We start from the raw sequence: 19456 nt of genomic DNA, 5'->3' as shown, positions 1-19456 counted from the left end.
CCACTCCTGGGACACGCTGGTCACCACCTGGCGAGGGCCTGAGAAATGCACACGACACGCCAGCCGCGCTCGGGACTCCAGGAGGTGTGGACGGTGTGGACAGCCATAAAGTGAGGTCCTTTCAGTTTCTGTGACAGCCAATGATGTTCCTTTTTTTTTTTTGGAGATGGAGTCTCGCTTTGCCGCCCCAGGCTGGAGTGCAGTTGCGTGATCTTGGCTCACTGCTACCTCTGCCTCCTGGGTTCAAGTGATTCTCATACCTCAGCCTCACAAGCAGCTGGCTTTACAGACATGCGCCACCAAGCCCAGCTAGTTTTTGTATTTTTGGTCGAGATGGGGTTTCACCATGGTGGCCAGGCTAGTCTCAAACTACTGATCTCAAGTGATCCACCCGCCTCAGCCTCCCAGAGTGCTGAGATTACAGGCGTGAGCCACTCTGCCCGGCCCCAATGATGTTTAATTTAACTTCTGAAGCTGCCAATACATCTACATGATTCAAAGGTACATACAGACGGACTCATACCTTCAAGAGGTCCTGGGAAGGTGGCCGCTTCCACCCCTGCTCTGGACTGCCTGAGCCCTAACCCCATCTCCTACCCGGAAGCATTTGTGTTGGTTGTTTTGGTGTTTGTCCATTGGCTGACGGTGTGAGTGTGCGTGTGTGCAAGGGCACAGTCTCCTCTTGCCTGCATTTTCACAGAGGCACATCCCATGCGCCCAGCTCCATACTTGGCTTTGGCAGCTCATGGGCGGTCTCTCCTAGCAGCAATGGCGCCCAGATGCCAGGTCACGAGGGGCTGCGCTCTGTCCAGTATGCGTCACTGCAAACCTCACTGTGACGCGAACGCGGGACTCGCACCCTCTCCTGGCCCCTCCCCCACCGAGCACCACATCCCGATGCTCCTGCCCAGCACAAGTGACCCCGTGGCCCCCGCTGTCCCCTCCTGGCTTGGTCAGCCCCACTCTGGTCCCCTCCTATTACTGGTGCCCTGCGCATGAACACCCTCTCGTTTTATCAGATTCTGCAGGCTCCTGACTGATGCCGTCACCAGGAACAATTCCAGCACCAGCCTGTCCCACTCATCCTGCTGTGGGATGACTCAAAAGTTGGAAAATTCTTTTTATTTTTGAGACAGGGTCTTGCTCTGTTGCCAAGGCTGGAGCGCAGTGGTGTGATCATAGTTAAGTACAGCTTCGACCTCCCGGGCTCAAGCTATGCTCCTGCCTCAGCCTCCCAAGTAGCTGGGACAACAGGCGCATGCCACCACACCTGGCTAATGTTTTTTAGTAGAGAGGGGGTCTTACTATGTTGCCTAGGCTGGTCTCGACCTCTCAGGCTCACGTGATCCTCTGCCCTGGCCCCCACAATGCTGGGATCACAGGTGGGAGCCACTGCACCTGGCCTGATGCTGGGATCACAGGTGGGAGCCACTGCACCCGGCCTGGAAAGTTCTTTATGGTGCCTTTGACCCATTCCTCCTAACGTCCCCCCAGCCTCTCCACTGCACCATGGGCCACAGTTGTGTTTGAAGGTGGCTATGACACATCCGCCAATCTCTTCAAAGCAAAGCATCTCCAGGCCTCTCACCCCTGCAAGACTTCACAGTACCACCTGCTGTAGGGTAAAGTGTCACCATGTATGTGCACTCCTCATGTCAGAGTCTAACAAACAGATGGAATAAAATGCTTCTAAATCAAGGAGGAAACCACACCATCTGTCTTACTGGCCTTAAGAGGTTACTAAGCTTTTCAGCAAATTTCTCATCAATGATGGAAGGCAAGAGTACCTAACCCACAACAAGCTACGGAAGTACCTATCAGCCAGGCACAATGGCGCACACCTGGAGCCCCTGCACTGTAGGAGGCTGAGGTGGCACTTGAGCCCAGGAGTTCAAAACCAGCCTGGGCAACATGGCAAGACCTTATCTCTACAAAAATTAAAAAAAAAAAAAAAAAAAAAAAAGCCAGGCCTGGTGGTGCATGCCTTTAGTCCCAGCAATTCGAGAGGCTGAAGCAGGAGGATCACTTGAGCCTGGGATTTCCAGGCTGCAGTGTGCCACGATCAGGCCACTGCACTCCAGCCTAGGTGATAGGGCAAGACCCTGTCTCTTTAAAAAAAAAAAAAAAGTAGCTACATCAGACACTAAAAGGCTGAGCAGCACATCCTGCGTTTGTTTTTGGGACAAAGTGTGGCAGCCTTGGGCAGACGCATGTGGACACCTCGCCATGGACAAGGCTGAACCCTGTGCTCCAGCTGGAAGGGACAGGGCCAGGCCCATGATGGCAGAGATCCTGCTGACTCCCAGGGCTTACGGAGGCACCACTGCAGCCAATATGCCAGAAGATAGCCTCTGGGTGCTGGCCACAGGGTGGCTTTTGTTTTGAGACAGGGTCTGGCTCGGTCACCCAGGCTGGAGTGCTGTAGTGCAATCTCAACTCACTGCAACCTCTGCCTCTGGGTTCAAGCGATTCTCCCACCTCAGCCTCCTGAGTAGCTGGGATTACAGGTACCCGCCACCACGCCCGGCATTTTTTTTTTTTTTTTCGGGAGAGAAAGGGTTTTGCCATGTTGCCCATGCTGGCCTCAAACTCCTGAGCTCGGCCGGGCGCGGTGGCTCACGCCTGTAATCCCAGCACTTTGGGAGGCTGAGGCAGGTGGATCATGAGGTCAGGGGTTCGAGACCAGACTGACCAACATGATGAAACCCCATCTCTACTGAAAATACAAAAATTAGCTGGGTGTGGTGGCGGGGCCTGTAATCCGAGCTACTCAAGAGGCTGAGGCAGGAGAATTGCTTGAACCTGGGAGGCGGAGGTGGCAGTGAGCCAAGATCATACCACTGCACTCCAGCCTCGGCGACAGAGTGAGACTCCGTCTCAAAAAAAAAAAAAAAAAAAAACAAACAAACTCCTGAGCTCAAGCAATCCTCCTCCACTGGCCTCCCAAAGTGCTGGGATTACAGGCGTAAGCCACCATGCCTGGCCATTTCTTTTTTTTATTTCTTTTTATTTTTTTTGAGACAAAGTTTCACTCTTGTTGCCCAGGCTGGAGTGCAATGGCATGATCTCAGCTCACTGCAACCTACACCTCCCGGGTTCAAGCAATTCTCCTGCCTCAGCCTCTTGAGTAGCTCAGATTACAGGCACATGCCACCACGTCCAACTAATTTTTGTATTTTTAGTAGAGACGGGGTTTCACCGTGTTGGCCAGGCTGGTCTCAAACTCCTGACCTCAGGTGATCCACCCACCTCAGCTTCCTAAAGTGCTGGGATTATAGGCGTGAGCCACAACACCTAGGCTCTTTCTTCTTTTAAACTTTCATTATGTATTCATGTACTTTTTGTTTCCCCCAGGTTTACAAAGGTGTAACTGACATTTCAACGTTGCAGGCATTCGTAGCGCACACCGTGATGTTTCTATATGTGCCTACACTTGCGTGCTTTATTTCTTCACAGCAGGCTGAGATGTGTAAGCTCAGAAGCAAAACCTTTACACATCCAATTCTTTAAGAAGTAACCCAAACAAGGAAATCTGTAGCCGTTTAGTGCCTGCCTGCTTTGTGTACCTGGTGAAGCCTCACCAACACTGTTACCTCTTGATAAATTGCAGCCCTGCAGTGGGAAGGCCTCAGCCACTGCTGCCTGCCGGTCAGCGTCAGCAGACACGAGGCCCCTCTCCCCAGGGACTGCAGGCCCGCCTTCCCTCCCGGACGAGGTTGCGCAATCCCGCAGGCGATCATCAGCTCTTCTCTGGGGGCCATCTTTATCCCGGGGTGGGACTGGAACGGGCTGTGTGTACCTCTTCCCAACTCCACATTCTGGGATGTTCTGTTGGGGTTTCAGGGCAGCCAGGGTGGGGGCACAGACACCACAGAAAGGGGCAAGTCCACCCGACACGCAGCCCCCAGCGCAGCACTGCCCAGGACCGCCATGAAGGGCGGCAAGCCCCCAGCCACAGATGTGCGTTTCCTGGCCTGCAGGTGTCTGAAGAAACGCGAGGCCACACCCAGCGCAGCCACTGCTGGCCTCCAGCTGAGGAAGCTCTGAGAGTGGCTCGCAGGCCCCACGATCCCTGGCCAGACCCAATAACAGAGTCTGTGTCCCCAACCCCAGCATGGCCGGCTGAATCCTTCCTGTCGCAGGCCCCACGCTCCCTGGCTGGACCCAATAACCAAGTCTGTGCCCCCAACCCCAGCATGGCCGGCTGAATCCTTTCCTGTCTCACGAACACACCCATAAGGCAAGCGGGGCTCCCGACACAGCCTGAATTTCCAGCTTCCAGAACACACTGTCTCTCCTCCCACGCGCTGTGCTGTGATTTAAGGGACTCACTGAAGGCAGGCACCGCGTGCTCCTAAGGGTGCAGCGTCTTAACTCTGCTGCGTGTGGCGCTTACGCTCGAGCCCAGCACGCAGCCGTGCTCCTTACCCCCCTCATAGTAGTGCTGCGTGGACTCCTCGAAGGACCGGTCGTAGCTCTGCTCCGTGTAGGATGACTGCTGGTAGGCGTAATCGCCATGGCCTGTGCGAAACGGAGACGGCGACAGTCAGCGGAGGCTGTGCACTGCACAGGTCCCGGAGGAGGCAACTGAGACCCAGGCTGGGGAGATGTTGTCTGGCCAGGGAGGCAACAAGAGCCGGCAGGACCCGTGTTCCCCAAAACCATGCCCCAACCTCCTGAGCCTCGGCCTCCCCACTGAAATGCAGACATCAATGCCTCCTTCTCGGGGCGACTGTGAAGCTACCTGGGGATTTATGCAGAGGATCAGCGCTTTCAGTGCCTGCCACACAGCCATGCTAGTGACCCGACTGCCTTCTCCCCGCCACCGCTAGCTCCTGGGAGGACGCAGGCAGGGGTGTCCAACCCTTACCGAGGCCTTCGCTGCATGTGACCATCACGTGGCCAGGGTGGCTTGCCCTGCTGCCACCTGCCCACCTGTCTGTGCACCTGCCCCTTGCTGGCTGAGGCCAGCTCCCTGCCTGGATGCCTCCCAGGGATCAATCCAGCCTTTAAGACCACTTTATTTTATTGTTATTTTTACTTTATTTAGAGACAGGATCCTGCTCTGTCACCAAGGCTGGAGTGTGGTGGTGCGATCATGGCTCAATGCAGCTTCAACCTCCTGGGCTGAAGCGATCCTCCTGCCTCAGCCTCCCAAAGTGCCGGAATGACAGGTGTGAACCGCTGTTTTCAGCCAAGACCACTTTCAGTATCCCTTCCACAAGCCCTGGGACTATGCAAAGACTGAAAGGTGACGACGGTAAAATACTCTGCAGAGATGAGAAGGTGCAGGAGGAGAGGTGCTGCAGGTGGAGCCGTCACCTTCAGGGCATTCTCTGTGAAGCTGGGAGGCGCCTTCTTGAACATTTCCACCTATCTACAGCTAGGAGCTACAATTATCCGCCTCCAACTCCCACAGCCTTTCAGGAAGTAGAGGCAAGGCCGCGTGGAGGCCAGTGCAGCGGTGTGTGCCACAGCTTCTCTCTGCAGAGGCCAGGCACCACTGCCAGCCCAGCTCACCCCATCCCCTACCTTGCTCCTGCAGGGCGTCTGGCCACTCTGCCTGTAGCCCAGGCCTGAGCTGGAATGACTGAGGACACACTGCAGTGGCCACACCCTCCTTGCCCTCCTTGCCCTCCTTGCCCCTGCAGCTGCTCTGCGTTCCTGGGCGGGGTCAGGCCGCCGCCAGTGCTCACCGTCGGGGTAGTACTGCTGGCCCATGGGCTCCGCGGCGCCCTGGCTGTGGCTGTACTGCTCGCCATAGTACTCCTCCTGGCCCAGGTACTGCTGGGAAGAGCCTGCGGGGGAACCACATTCAGCGCCAGTGCGGGCCGCGCCCTCCTCCCTCAGAGGACCTGCTCGCTCACTGGGGAAGCCAAGGCCTTGCTGAATGGCCTCACCCACCCGAGGAGAACACCCCACGCTGTCATCGTATCCAACTTATGTTTTGTATTTTTAGTACAGAGTTTCACCATGTTGGCCAGGCTGGTCTTGAGCACCTGGCCTCAGGTGATCCGCCCACCTCGGCCTCCCAAAGTGCTCGGACTACAGGCATGAGCCCGGCCTGTGACACTCTTAATGACAACTGCCGCCCCTGCCCCCAACACTGACTCCTCGGGGACAGCAGACCCTCCACGGGCCACACCCTGGCCCTCACCCCCAGGGTCCACACTCAATGTTAACACCAAGGCGCCAAGCCTCACTCCCCCAGGCTCCCCGCCTCACTCCCCCAGGCTCCCCGAAGAGAAGCACACACAGCCTGGCACTTCACGACCCGCGGCGGTCAGCTGTGCCCGCGACCTGGCCCGGCCGGGCGTTACCTTGCTGGGAGGGCCGGTAGGGCGCCATGGGCCGCTGCCCCATCATGCTGCTCCCCTGGCTGCCCTGCCCCATCATGGCGATGGACGACTGGCCCTGGTAGTGCTGGCTGCCGCCCTGCGCCGAGCTGTAGTGCGACGTGGCCGCCTGCTGCTGCATCATGGAGACTGAACGACAGGACAGAGGCCCCACATCACCCCGGGAAGCCTCCCGCCCTCCCTCCCACACCCAACTACCTCCTGCGCCCGGGCGGGTTCCTCGTTATTTTCCTGTGCTCCCCACGAGGACAGCGTCCTCCACCGCAAGGCACGCCTCCCCTACGTGGCCTGCACTGACGCCCTGCAAGCTCAGACCCGCTGCTTGCACCGACTCTACCCCACCTCTGAGAGCCCAGTGCTGTCTGTCCAGACCCAGGGCCAGTGGCCCCCACTCCCTGGGGCATTCCCTGAGACTCCATGGGAAACACCCCAGCCCCTCGCAAAGCTGGGGGACAGGAGGAGTTGATCGTGCACCCACTGGCGCCCATCCCTCCGGAAGCTCTCAGAGGCAGCGGCCAGCCCCGATTCACGGGCCCCTCCCCTCCAGCACCCAGCAGGAGGGCAGCTTCCCCGGGACCACATGTCCAACGTGCATGTGTCAAGGGTCTTGGAGGCAGGCCCAGGCCCCCCGGGGTTGCAGAGGCAGAGTAGGTACCTGGGTTGGACTGCATGTTGATGTTGGTCCGAGACACGTAGTTGCCGATGGTGCCTTGCCCCTGCATGGGGACGCCCTGCGAGGCGGGTCCCGCGTGGCTGTAGCCGGGCCCAGAGATGCTCATGGAGGTGGTGGGCAGCGTGTTAGGCGCCGTCTGCTGCATGGACACGTGGCTCGGCCCTGGCATGGGGAGCAGGGAGTGGTGTCAGGCACTGGGGAGCCAGGTCACCACTTCTGAAGGTGAAGACACCCCAATTTCCCTTCAAGTGACTTTGGGAAGAGTTGCTATCAACAGCACTATTAATGATTAAGTGACTAATAAATAAGTGGCCGGGAGCAGTGGCTCATGCCTGTAATCCCAGCACTTTGGGAGGCCGAGGTGGGTGGATCACCTGAAGTCAAGAGTTCGAAACCAGCCTGGACAACATGGTGAAACCCCGTCTCTACTAAAAATACAAAAAAATTAGCCAGGTGTGGTGGCACGTGCCTATAATCCCAGCTACTTGGGAGGCTGAGGCCGGAGAACTGCTTTAACCCGGGAGGCGGAGGTTGCAGTGGGCCAAGATCATGCCCATTGCACTCCAGCCTGGCCGACTAGAGCGAGACTCTGTCTCAAAAAAAAAAGAAAAGAAAACAAAGCAGCGTACATGCTAGCAAAGCACAGGATGAATCGTTTATTTGTTGTTATTTTGTTATTATTTTCTGAGACAGGGTCTGGCTCTGTCACCCAGGCTGCAGGGCAGTGGCATGAACAAGGCTCACTTCAGCCTCACCCTCCCAAGCTCAAGTGACCCTCTCTCCTCAGTCTCCCGAGTATTTAACAGTTTGGACTACAAGTGTGCACCATCACACCCGGCTAATATTTTTATTTTTTGTAAAGATGGGGCTTTGCCATATTGCCCAGGCTGGTCTCAAACTCCTGGCCTCAAGTAGTCTGCTGGTTTAGGCCTCACAAAGGGTTGGGATTAGAGATCTGAGCCACCACACCCGGCCTGTTATATTACTGTTAATGGTCTCCAAACGTTATCCATGCTTCTCAATCCAAAGACAGGAGCATTCCATTCCTATTACACAATCCACCTGGAACCCCGCAACTTGCATTTGAATTTGATGGAACGTGACAGTGTCAGAGAGAGTGGACAACTGGAGCAGGGGCTCAGCCCAGCCGCACGGCACGCTCGCTGCGGCCCTGAGCCTGGGCGATGGCAGCCGACCTGTGGCTACCCCAGGAGGAGTGGGTCCCATGCCCAGCCCTGTGAGGGGTGGGGTGCCCCACCATGGCAGCCGGCTGCCCAAGGGCTGCCTTGGTGGCCTCGTAGCCAGGAACGTCCTCCTCCCCCGCCGCACTCACCGTTGCCAATCTGGCCCTGCAGGAGGGAGGAGGGTGGCAGGCCCGTGCTGATGGCGTCACTCAGGCTGCCCTGAGAGTGCAGGCCCTGGCTGGAGCCGCTCTGAGTCAGGGCTCCAGGGCCCAGGTTCATGTTCTGCGTGGGCGGCTGCAGGCAACAGGAAGTTTTCAGGGAAAAACGGTTAATTTACGGAGAGCGACCTCCACAAGCCAGGCCAGGGATGAGAGGGCACCCGAGATTTGCCGCCACACATCATGGCCACCTGGTCAATGTTCGTAATCAGCAGCCATCGTCACAGCCAGGTGACCGCAGAGCACCAGGCCCAGATGGAGATGGCAGAGTGAGCATCTGGGTGAGCGTTCACAACCCTACTGAGTATCAAGTTCATCCACACGTGCCTGGGTGTGAAAAGCTGGACCTCCTCCTGGGACAGCAGGGAACCCCTTTCCCGGCCCACCAGGCTGAACGCACCCCGTCCCCCTCGGGCGCAGGTGACCAGCGCCTCTGTGCTCCCCAACCACGACCCCTCCGTGCCAAGAGCTTCGGCAGAGGTGGGATCCCTCTCCTGTTTCCCGTGCTCCTGCTGCATGTGCCCCTTCCCCGACTACCCCCACCCCACACCCGCCTCGGATCACACCGCACAGAAGGGAGTGAGTGTGAAGTGGCCCTCAGCACTCTCCCAGATCAAGGTCAACCAGCAGCTCTGGAGGTCTGCACACACATGCTGTCTACACCTGGCCAAGAAAAGGAAATTTCCACCAGGACCTGTGGGTGTCTGCAGGGTGAAGAAGTGCAATTTGACAGGTCAATGGAGGTGGGTTTAACATTTTTACTCGCAAGACACATCCTGGCATTTATGTCATCACTTGCCGAGGACTAAGGGTCACTAGGAGATACGTCATTCCCGGCGACATGTCTGTCCCGGAACCCCGTCAGCAGGACAGAGGCTGCAGCAGCACGACCTCGTCTTCACTGTGACAATTTAATCTTGGAAAAATGCATTTTAAAAAATCAAACAAAATAAAATATTTGAACTAACACTGGGAGAATTTACTGTGCTGGGCATGTTCTCTTTTAAGTTCCGTTCTCACCCACAGCAGCGCATGTGCACGGTTCACAGTGGCTCAAAGCACCCGGAGAGGCTCCAGGGAGACGCAGGGCCCCCATCCCACCTCTCCCCATCCCACCTCTCCCCACCCCACCTCTCCCCACCTCTCCCCATCCCACCTCTCTCCACCTCTCCCCACCCCACCTCTCTCCACCTCTCCCCACCCCACCCCACCTCTCCCCACCCCACCTCTCCCCATCCCACCTCTCCCCACCCCCGACCCGAGAGCTGCGGCTGCTCCTGGAGTGGCTTCTCCGGGGCTTCCCTCCCTTCAATACATAACGAGGCTGAGCCACAGTTCTGACCTGGCCACCTCAGACGCTGTCATTACTCCCAGTCTGTCAGGAAGGGTTGGTCACCACCGCCCACACTCCCATTTCTGGTGGCTCTAGTGGTATTTTTGGTTTCTCTGAGTCATCTTTGCTACCTGAGATGACATGCCCACAATTCCGATCTTAGGCAGTGTCGGAGTCCTTGCTGGGTAAAGGAGGCCAACCCCCCGTGGGTACTCACGGCAGGAAGCAGGGACTGCATGTTCTGGTTGGAGTCTGCGATCGTGGCCAGGTATACCAGGTTCCGGTGCAGGATCTGCTGGTACCTGCAGGAGAGGGGGCACGCATGAGGCAGGACGACGGGACCACAGAGTCCCCACGTGGATCCAAGGCAGAAGTAAAGTGTGAACAAGACAGCCTGACATCCAGCCAAACCCCATGAGGACATGGACCCCAGATGACACCCAGCTGGACACAGGCAGGTGGCAGGGTGCTGGGGTCTCGGTGGGGACGGGAGGGCAGCCTCTACCCCAAACCCTGAGCAGGCTCCCAACCCATGACAAAAACTCTGGAAAGACTCTAAGGTAACAGCTAAGCGGAAGCTGGCATTGGTCTGTTCAGAGGATAGAGATGGGGGGAGGCCACGAGGAGGCAGGGGCCCGAAGGTGACAGAGGGACAGAGCCCTCGTCCAGCTGAGCCAGGCAGTGGGCGGACTCCATAGAGCCAACGACCCTGAGAAAGCCCTGGAAAGAAATGGGGAAGCACAGTTCTGCCAGGGAAGGCCCCTCGTATACCTCGCACCAGTGGGGACCCAGTCCCTTCACCCCACCCACACCCAGGGGTGTCTGAGGCCATTCACGCACTTCCCACCTCCAGGTCAGTCTGACGGCCACTTGGACAGCCGCTTGGAGGGTGGCAGACTGGCCACGCACCCCTCCTACGCATCAGGCCCTAGGTTCACAGGGTCACAGGAGGTCCCACCTGGAGTAGGTGCTGTCTCCTGGTGCGCTGGCTGTTGGCCACAGAGCTGCCCAGAGAGGCTGGCCCAGGCCTCCCCACACTGCTCCTGCCTCCCACTTTCCGCCTCCCTCAGAACTACCCCAGTTCTGGCAGCAATGCTTCGCAGCTGTGCCAGGGACTCTCGGGACATATCTGGCCTCCGTGCTGGGGGACTCTCGGGACATATCTGGCCTCCGTGCTGGGGGACTCTCGGGACATATCTGGCCTCCGTGCTGGGGGACTCTCGGGACATATCTGACCTCCGTGCTGGGGGACTCCTGGGACATATCTGGCCTCTGTGCAGGGGACTCCTGGGACATATCTGGCCTCCGTGCTGGGGACTCCTGGGACTTATCTGATCTCTGTGCTGGGGGACTCTTGGGACGTATCTGGCCTCTGTGCTTAGACTCTGCATGACACCCTCCAAGTGTTCCGGTGTATGGCGGGCACTCACTGCGTGCACTCGGCCGTCTTGCCCTTGCTCTGGTACTCCAGGATGCACTGGATCAGGTGGTGGTTCTCGTCCAGCATCTGCGGAGAGAGCGTGAGCGGGCGCTGCCGACGCGGGGCTGTCGCTGACCCTCGGGATGAACAGCCATCGCTACACATCTAGTTTTCATATAGGTTGAGCGTCCCTTACGTGAAACGTGTCAGATTTCAGATTTTTCCAGATTTGGGGATATCTGTATTAGACCCACCGGTTTGGCATCCCTAATCCGAAAACCCGAAATCCAAAATGCTCCAATGAGCATTTCCTTTGAGCCTCATGTTGGTGCTCAAAAGGTTCTGGATTTTGGAGCACTTCAAATTTCCAGATCTCGGATGCTACGCCTGTTCTGTATACGAAACTGTCGTTACGTGCATTGCCTCAGCCACCACAGACCGAACATTCACACCTCCCTGTGCTGGGGACTTCATCCGTAAGCGGCAGGGCCATCTAAGCCCACAAATGAAAACACAGAGGCCCCGTGCCCCCAGCAGCCCCCAGCCCGAAGGACCCTCCAGCTTCCAGGGCCCTTGACGGCAGAGCATCTGTGCAGCAAGGGTCAGCCAAGCCGATGGCAAGGATGTCAGGACCCTGTGGGCACCCCACAAGAGGCCCTGGTGCCCCTAGCTGGAGGGGATAGCCTCGAATTGCAACCACACAGGGTGGGGCACAGGTAACTGCCCCCTCCCAAGGATCAGCAGGGGTCCAGGGCACTCCCAGGTGGTAAGGGCATCGAGACTTCCTGCAGGGGCTGCACCAACCGCGGTGAGGGAGGGAAGGAAAGGGTCTGGGGGGGTCAGGGACGGCACCACCGGTAGAAGAAACCACACACACACACAGGCCGGCGTGGGGGCAGAAAAGATGCGTGAGACTGCGGAACCGGGCATGACCTAGACCTGGGGCTGGCACCCCGCAGCCCTCACCCCCAGGGGTGCTGCGCTGAAATGCAGGAGAACGGCACGATAGGCCCACAGGCCACACAGGGAAGGCCGGTCCCGTCTTGAACCTTCCGTGTCTTACACATAAAGTGTGTGTGCACAGACAAGGTCATGACCCTAAACCCAGATTAAACCAGTTTCAAGTGACTCAGGTGAACAGCCAGATGTGGGCCTCCCAGAGCTGGGCCAGGGGTCTCTCTGCAGGCGCCACGTGCTCCTAGAACTGGCAAAATGGAGGCTTCTGGTCCAGGGACGGCCAGGCATACACTCCGCCAAGCACGGTCTGCGCTCAAGATGGGCACTGCCAGGAACCTGTCAGATGCAGGGGCTCAGCCTGTCTCTGACCTGGTGACCCACGTGCCTGGCCACACCTGAGCAGCAGGGGGCTGGGCCCACAGATTCCCCAGGTTTCCTTCCCAAAGCGCCTCCTGAACGTGCTCTGTGGCCCCAGGAGGGCTCCGGAGCACTCCCCAAATCAAGCGGCCCAAGGCCTTGCGTCCACACACCTGCACGTAGTCAGGACGTGCTGAGTCTGGTGGTTGGTAGAAGTGGGGAGGGGTGGGTGGCAGCAGAGGAACAGGGGCTGGGGCCAGGCGGCATCCTGCAGACACCACACAGGACGCCCACAGGCCGTGGGGAGCAGGCACAGGAGAGCCGGCTCTTTCAAGGTGTCCACCTGGGGGCAGCACTGGGTGGCCCGCGGAGACCCAACGGGAGGCGAGAGAGGAGAGAGGGGGTATGGGAGGGGACTGAGAAGAGGCGACACCCGCCCTGTGACCAGCTGCCTCTGTCTGCAGGGAGGCACAGAACTGAGCCCACCACGCCTGCTGCTTTTCATAAAAAGGCCTTTTCTCAGAGGCTGGCACCCAAGGAAAAAGCAGTGCCTTTTGGCTCCACTACAGCGTGCTGGGTCACTCAGCCCTAGGAGGCCGCTCCCGACAGGAGCTCTACAGGCCCTGGAGCAGGGGAGCCCCAGGGCAAGGGGAGGAGGAGCCCACCTGCCTGCCTGGGGCCTTGGGGCCACCCAGCTGTGCCTCCACCCTGCAACGTGGCCCCTCTAACTGCGATTTGACCTTGGGGCCCAAACTCATCCACAGGCAGAGGGAGCCCAGGGTGGAGAGAGCCAAGCCAGGCCAGCTCACAGGGCAGAGCCCGGACCCACAGCCCCAGCTGAGTGACTGCCCTCAACTCAGCTTCCTCCTCCGCCGGTCTCCACGACTTCAGGGTTGGTTTCTCCTGCTCTATTTTTTCTTAAAGTTATACCTTCCCCCTTTCCACTCTTTACCACTTTTCTCCCTGCTGGGGACAAGGTGCCCTGCACTCAGCTGAGCCCAATGGGGCCGAGGAGCCATCCTGAGATGGGGGTGGGGGGCCGCCAGGGGACACTGTGGGCCAGGCTTACCAGTGGGCAGGTGAGGGAGAGTCCACCTGCCAGGCGCCAGCATTCCAGATGGCTCTGCCTTCAGATGAACTGCAGGAAGGGACAACTATGGGCTTTCTTCCTTTCCTTCTAAAGGGCTTCCCCTCCTTGACTCCTAACCCCCAGGCAGAGATTGTCTCCAGGGACACGAACTAGACACGGCGGGCATTTCAGCATCACTCCCAGCACGGGGCCGGGATGGGCCGGGGGGCGCAAGCCACTGACTTCATTAGGCAGAGCCCCGCGGGTGTGCACTGGCCAGGGCAGTGCCGCGAGGTTTATGTACGCACGACGAAGCACGACGAAACACAGTACTGGTGTGGGTGTTTAGAAAACTGGATACAGAGAACTTTCTCATGTATGTTAGACACATACCCACTTGAAAAAGGGCAGGACAGGCAGAATGAAAGGTGGAAGACTGGACACCCCAAACCCCAGGCCCCGGCCGGCGACTAAGGATGGAACAGGTGTGGCCTTCTAAGGACAGAATGGGGAGGGCACAAGATGGCAGCAGCGGGAGTTTGGAAGCTGAAAAGCACATGGATGAGTAACAACTGAATCAGTGCCCCCAGGGCACCTGGCCTGAGCCACACTGTGCTGCGAAGCCCCACAAGGCTCAGGAATGTTAAAATTCTGGCACCTTTCAGGGTCGCCCAGGATCTGCTGGCAGGAGATGGGGTTGGAGGAGGGGGCGTCTCCAGGAAAGTGACCAGCCTGGAGGAAAGATGCTTGGGCACTGAAGGGAAAGAGCACCTCAGAGTGAACCACAGGCCACACGCCTGCCTGAGCATAGCAGGCAGTGCCCCGGCCTCCAATCCGCAGAAGCCACAGCGGTGCGGCCCCCACCTGCCATTTGAAAGACAAAGGCCAAAACCAGCCACAGAGGCCAAAATCCAAAGATGAAGGTTATGCAAGACGGAGACTTTTTCTATTTGCTTTTCTTCTGAGACAGGGTCTCGCTCTGTCACCCAGGCTGGAGTGCAGTGGCGTGATCTTGGCTTACTGCAACCTCCACCTCCCAGGCTCAAGTGATCCTCCTACCTCAACCGCCCGAGTAGCTGAGACTACAGGTGTGTGCCACCATGCCTGGCTAAATGGGTTTTTTTTGTTGTTGTTGTTGGTAGAGACAGGGTCTCCCTGTGTTGCCCAGGCTGGTCTCGATCTCCTAGGTTCAACTGATCTGCCCGCCTCTGCCTCCCCAAGTGCTCATTACAGGCATGAGCCATTGCACCCGGCCTGAAACTTTTTAAAAAAATCCAACAAAACCTATTATTAATATCCTCACAAAGTCAGCCGGTGCAGTGATGCAGGTTACTGGAGCCCCAGAAAAGAAGATGATGCCAGTTAGAAACAACAGAGGGGGCAGAAGAGCTCTGGAGGTGAAAACCTGTTAGTCAGAACACAATTCAACAGAGGGGCGGGATATGAAGTTGAGGAGGAGTCCTGGAAAGCAGGACGGATCGACCGAGGTGAAAACAGAAAGATCACGAAGAAAGGGAGTGGGCCAGCGCGGCCCTCCAGGAGCCCCAGAGACAGGAGCAGTGAAGAAATCACCCCCAAATCCTTCAATCATTTTCTCAGAGCTGAAGGACGCATTTCCCCATTGGAAGGGCCCCCAGGTGACCAGTTTGCCAAAAAAGACCAGGGACAAAGAAAGATCCTAAACATGACAGGAGAGAAAAACCAGGTTCCACGTGAAGGACAGTGGATTCCGACAGCACGGAGCCTCCTACATGGGCCCGCAGGGTGCAACGACCTCACGGAGACTTCCGGAGGAGCTGTGTCCCATACCAAGGGACACCCCCTGAGGTGTGATGACCCAGTCCCAACGGAGACCTCTGGGGGGCCGATGGCCTGGCCTGAGGGAGGCTCTGGAGGAGAGATGAACTCACCATGGAGGTTTCCGGAAGGGCTACGGTCTGATCCTGAGGGAGACTTCTGCGTAGAAATTCTAGTCCGCCGAAACCGCAACCAGGCGTGAAGGGGGAATGGACGCACTTTCAGACCCGCAAGTTAGGAAAACGCACCTTGTACCCAAACCAAGGGCACTCGATGACTGGCCGGCATTCTTCAAAAACTGTCAGAGTCATCAAAGACAAGGAAGATGAACAAGTGGTTCTCAACAGACATGGTCCCAGGGTCCTTCCAGTAATCCTTAATGATGTCCTACAAAAGCCATTACCGGGACAACTGGGAAGTCACAGTGAGTTGGAGCAGACGGCTGTGCTGCTGCCATGTCAGCTCCCCCGTTTCAATCTTTGTACGGCGTCATGTCCTCGTTGGCAGCAAAGTCACGTTCAAGCATTTGGGAGTAAAGGGGCACCAAGTCTACAACTCATTCTCAAATTGTCAGGGCAAGAATAACACGTGTCCACAGGACAGAAGAGGGGAGGGGACAGCAAGTGAGGTGGCGTTAACATGCCAGCAGTCGAGTGAAGGGAGCGTGGGAATTCTGTTTAAAGGGACACATCCCAAACACCTGTTCTCAGGAGGCCATAAAATGATGCGCCTCCCTCCCCAAACCAAGGGAGCAAATCCCAGGAGAAGACCCAAGACCCAACCCAAGAGAAGCCAAAGGAATTCGGCCAATGGTGGGAGACCCACGGAGAGCAGCCCCGAGACTGAAACCCGGAAGAATACCTGAGCAAAGGAGGAGATACACTAGTGACAAGTGATTGAAAAGAAAAACAATCAACAACTCCAGGGAAAACAAAAGCCAGGCAGGAAAAGCAGTCACACGGTCCTGCGTGGTTCAGCAGTGAGCAAGGTGTTTATCATCACCACGTCAACAGCAGAGGCAGATCCAACCCCCGAGAAAGCCACTCTGACGGGTATGAGTGGGGAGCGCAGGTGTGCAGCGGGGAGGGCAGACCTTATCGGGTGACCTGTTCTCCCTGGTCACCAGGTAAGGTCAGCAGCCCTAAACCCATTCCAAAGTGGCCACTTGGTTTGGCCTTGAGAAGGGCAAGACAGCGCCTCTGGGAGGTGGGAGGCATTACTCCTGAGGTTACTCATGCCCTGATAGGGTCTGTCTGTGTCCCCACCCAAATCTCATCTTCAATTGTAGTTCCCATAAGCCCCACGTGTCGTGGGAGGAACCCAGTGGGAAGAAATTAGATGGATGGGAGCTGTCTCCCCCATGCAGTTCTTGTGATGGTGAGTGAGTCTGCATGAGATCTGTTGGTTTTACAAGCACCTGGCATCTCCCCTGCTTGCGCTTCTCCTTCCTGCCGCCTTGTGAAGAAGGTGCCTTGCTTCCCCTTCCGCCATGATTCTAAGTTTCCTGAGGCCTCCCCAGCCCTGTGGAACTGTGAGTTAATTAAGCCTCTTTCCTTTATAAATTACCCCATCTCAGATATTTCTTCATAGCAGTGTAAGAACAACTAACACACACGCCCATGGTGCTTCTTGACTCCTGATGTGCACGCGCGGCTTTGGTGAGCATAAAATCCAAAGCAAAAGACCCTGACAGGACGGAAATGCACCGACAGGCAGCTGTGGCCCCCACTCTGGAGGTTGTCGATTCGTAGTTTCTTATGTGTCTGTGTTTATGAAAATCTCTAAGACAAGCATTTACTCACGGTATCATCTGCAAAGCGACCTTAAAGAGGCCTGAAGTGAGTCTGGGGTTGCCAGGGCTGGTGATGGGCCCACCTGAGTCTCCTCCACCTGGTGTGTACCTCTAACACTAAGCTGAACAAAGAAGCCATTCACGCGGCCTGGAGCGTTCTAGATCTTCTGTATTTACTGCTGTCTTCTGCAGACACTGTTTCCCAGCTTCCTGATGTGCACTTGTGAATTTTTCTGCAACGTGAGATACAGTTCTCCCCACCCTTTCCTAAGAGGCCGAGTTTCTACAGGTTCAGGGGTAAACCCGCGCCAGAGACGCCACCGGGAAAGCACTGAAGCTGGTGGCCTGAGGCCTCCCGAGGTGAGGGCGCTGGGGACAGAGATGAGGTGGCAACTCCATCTGGAGGAGCCAGAGGCTGGCATCGGGGGCCGCAGCAAGGAGGGGTGGTGAGATCCCATCTCTGAGCATGCTTCATCAATGTGCCCATCCTAGGCCTGGGTGAGTGGAGGCGACAGTGAGGAGGTGCGACCCGCTCTGCTCATGGTGGAGTGGGCGTGGGTGGCCAGTCGGGTGAAGACCGACGTGGGCATGCATCTGCTCAATGCCATGAGGCAGCGGAGCCCCAGGAGACTCCTGGGGTTGACGTCCAGCTGGGCTGGAGGCTGGGCAGGAGCACATGGGTAAGGTGGGGGAAGGGCGGCCCGATGGAGGAAACAGGCATGTGTGAAGGCCACGGGGCATCTCCAGGAATGGAGGCCAGCTCTGGGGAGCGGGAAAAGAGGGGAACGGGGGAGGCCAGCCCTGGGGACCGGGAAAAGAGGGGAACGGGGGAGGCCAGCTCTGGGGAGAGGGAAAAGAGGAGAACGGGGGAGGCCAGCTCTGGGGATCGGGAAAAGAGGGGAACGGGGAAGGCCAGCTCTGGGGAGCGGGAAAAGAGGGGAACGGGGGAGGCCAGCTATGGGGAGCGGGAAAAGAGGGGAACGGGGGCTGCTGGGGGACAGGAGTCCTGTGCCCATTGTGGGGGTGACTTTCTCAACCAAAGCCTGTGCTCACTGCAGAGACTGGCTGGACCAAGATCCCAACGCGGCTGGGTGCATCCATTACCCAATGCGCAACAAACCTCCCGGAGCCGCGTGGTTGAAACATGATTTCTTAGTTCTCATGATTCTGGGCTGGTTCGGAGGATCTTCTGCTGGGCTTGGCTGGGCTCGTGGCTGGGGCAGCTGGGACACCTGGGCCTCCCACTCCCTCTCTGCGTGGTCACCCCTGTGGTCTCAGGCTCTGAGGGGTGGCCCCAACGTGTCTCTGTTGGTCAGGCTGGCTGATGCCCAGGGCCAAGCCCAGCACCCACAGGGAGACAAACCCAAGGGGCACGGAAGCCACGGCCATGGCAATGGACCATGTGGGTGAGCAGAGAAACTGGATTTGGCAAGCGGGGACTGACGGGGGACACGGGGCTTGGCTTGGAGGGCCCAGGGCACAGCCAGGCACCAAGGATGGGGTCTGGGGCTGCTGAAGCCCCACCGTGGGGTCCTAACTGGGTAGGCGAGGGAGTGAGGATGAGAACCAGGGACGGAGAACTGGGGTCCCAGAGCCCACAGAGAGTAGGGGAAGGGCTGGGGCTACCAGGCAAAAACCTGGGTGAGGGGCTCTCAGCAGAACAGTCTCTCCCCAATGACAACCTGTGTGGGGCCCTGGAAGCCAGACAGAGGAGGCCTGGGGCTCTGAGGCTCACTGCCGGGGCTGGCTCAGCCCACACTGGGCAGGAAGACCTCCAGTGTCCTCATGGTTGTCCTTTCTAATTACAAAGACTTTTGGAACCTTTTTAATTTTGCAGGAGGAACCCCTGGCTCCTCTTCCCCAGAGGCCAGCTCTGCCGATTCTGGAAGCGTCTGGCATGGAGCCTGTGCACTCCCCTCCCGACTCTGCACACACCTGATAACGTTTCGCTCCCGCTGCTCCACACAGCTCCCTTTCCTCTCAAACATCTTGGAGACTGTCCTCTGTCAGCACATAGAGACCTCACCTGTCCCTTGAGCCCAGGAGGACAAGGCTGCACGAGCTGTGATCACGTTACTGCACCTCAGCCTGGGCGAAAGAGCAAGACTCTGTCTCCAAAAAAAAAAAAAAAAAAAAAAAAAAAAAAAAAAAAATCCACCTCAATGTTTCTTATGCTCCGGAGAATTCCACAACATGGACACAACGTAGTACTCTGTCTGCTTGGACAGACATTGAAATTGTTCCCCGTCTTCTGCCACTACATGCAGGGCTGCCATGCACTCCCCACGCATGGCGTGGAC

At 57.5% G+C, this 19456-nt stretch overlaps 1 protein-coding gene across 11 annotated transcripts in view, besides 4 other annotated features; it reads right to left on the bottom strand.

The window, feature by feature from the left end:
• The window catches only part of SS18L1 (SS18L1 subunit of BAF chromatin remodeling complex), a 38746-nt gene that overhangs the window by 12572 nt on the left and 6718 nt on the right, over window positions 1-19456 (bottom strand). For 4 of the 11 annotated variants that reach the window (NR_125981.3, NM_198935.3, XM_005260389.4 and 1 more), the window contains exons 2-8: window positions 11195-11271; window positions 9982-10066; window positions 8363-8507; window positions 7012-7191; window positions 6321-6485; window positions 5697-5798; window positions 4429-4521 (exon numbers count right to left, since the gene is read on the bottom strand). Coding sequence is in view for 8 of the 11 variants with exons in the window: in NM_198935.3 (NP_945173.1) it covers window positions 4429-4521; window positions 5697-5798; window positions 6321-6485; window positions 7012-7191; window positions 8363-8507; window positions 9982-10066; window positions 11195-11271 (847 nt within the window). In the remaining 3 variants the exon portion in view is untranslated. Of the gene's footprint in view, window positions 1-4428; window positions 4522-5696; window positions 5799-6320; window positions 6486-7011; window positions 7192-8362; window positions 9348-9981; window positions 10067-11000; window positions 11272-15477; window positions 15663-15767; window positions 19265-19456 lie in introns of those variants that run through there. The other 7 variants (XR_007067449.1, XM_047440083.1, NR_125980.3 and 4 more) reach the window with 6 other exon arrangements.
• Window positions 7800-8412: an enhancer, noted in NCBI's record as "H3K4me1 hESC enhancer chr20:60736587-60737199 (GRCh37/hg19 assembly coordinates)". NCBI's record gives its function as "activates a minimal SCP1, AML or CMV promoter by ChIP-STARR-seq in primed H9 embryonic stem cells {active_cell/tissue: H9 hESC(primed)}" and the evidence as "EXISTENCE:reporter gene assay evidence [ECO:0000049][PMID:30033119]".
• Window positions 8413-9025: an enhancer, noted in NCBI's record as "H3K4me1 hESC enhancer chr20:60735974-60736586 (GRCh37/hg19 assembly coordinates)". NCBI's record gives its function as "activates a minimal SCP1, AML or CMV promoter by ChIP-STARR-seq in primed H9 embryonic stem cells {active_cell/tissue: H9 hESC(primed)}" and the evidence as "EXISTENCE:reporter gene assay evidence [ECO:0000049][PMID:30033119]".
• Window positions 8413-9907: a biological region, named in NCBI's record as "CDK7 strongly-dependent group 2 enhancer GRCh37_chr20:60735092-60736291".
• Window positions 8708-9907: an enhancer, noted in NCBI's record as "CDK7 strongly-dependent group 2 enhancer chr20:60735092-60736291 (GRCh37/hg19 assembly coordinates)". NCBI's record gives its function as "activates an origin of replication core promoter dependent on BRD2, BRD4, P300/CBP, MED14 and CDK7 cofactors, with strong dependence on CDK7, by STARR-seq in HCT116 cells {active_cell/tissue: HCT116}" and the evidence as "EXISTENCE:reporter gene assay evidence [ECO:0000049][PMID:35650434]".

Source organism: Homo sapiens, chromosome 20 (genome assembly GCF_000001405.40).
Source record: "Homo sapiens chromosome 20, GRCh38.p14 Primary Assembly".
Classification (NCBI taxonomy): Eukaryota; Metazoa; Chordata; class Mammalia; order Primates; family Hominidae; genus Homo; species Homo sapiens.
The sequence above is the reverse complement of the archived record's forward strand: the minus strand, read 5'-3'. Positions and strand labels throughout refer to the sequence as shown.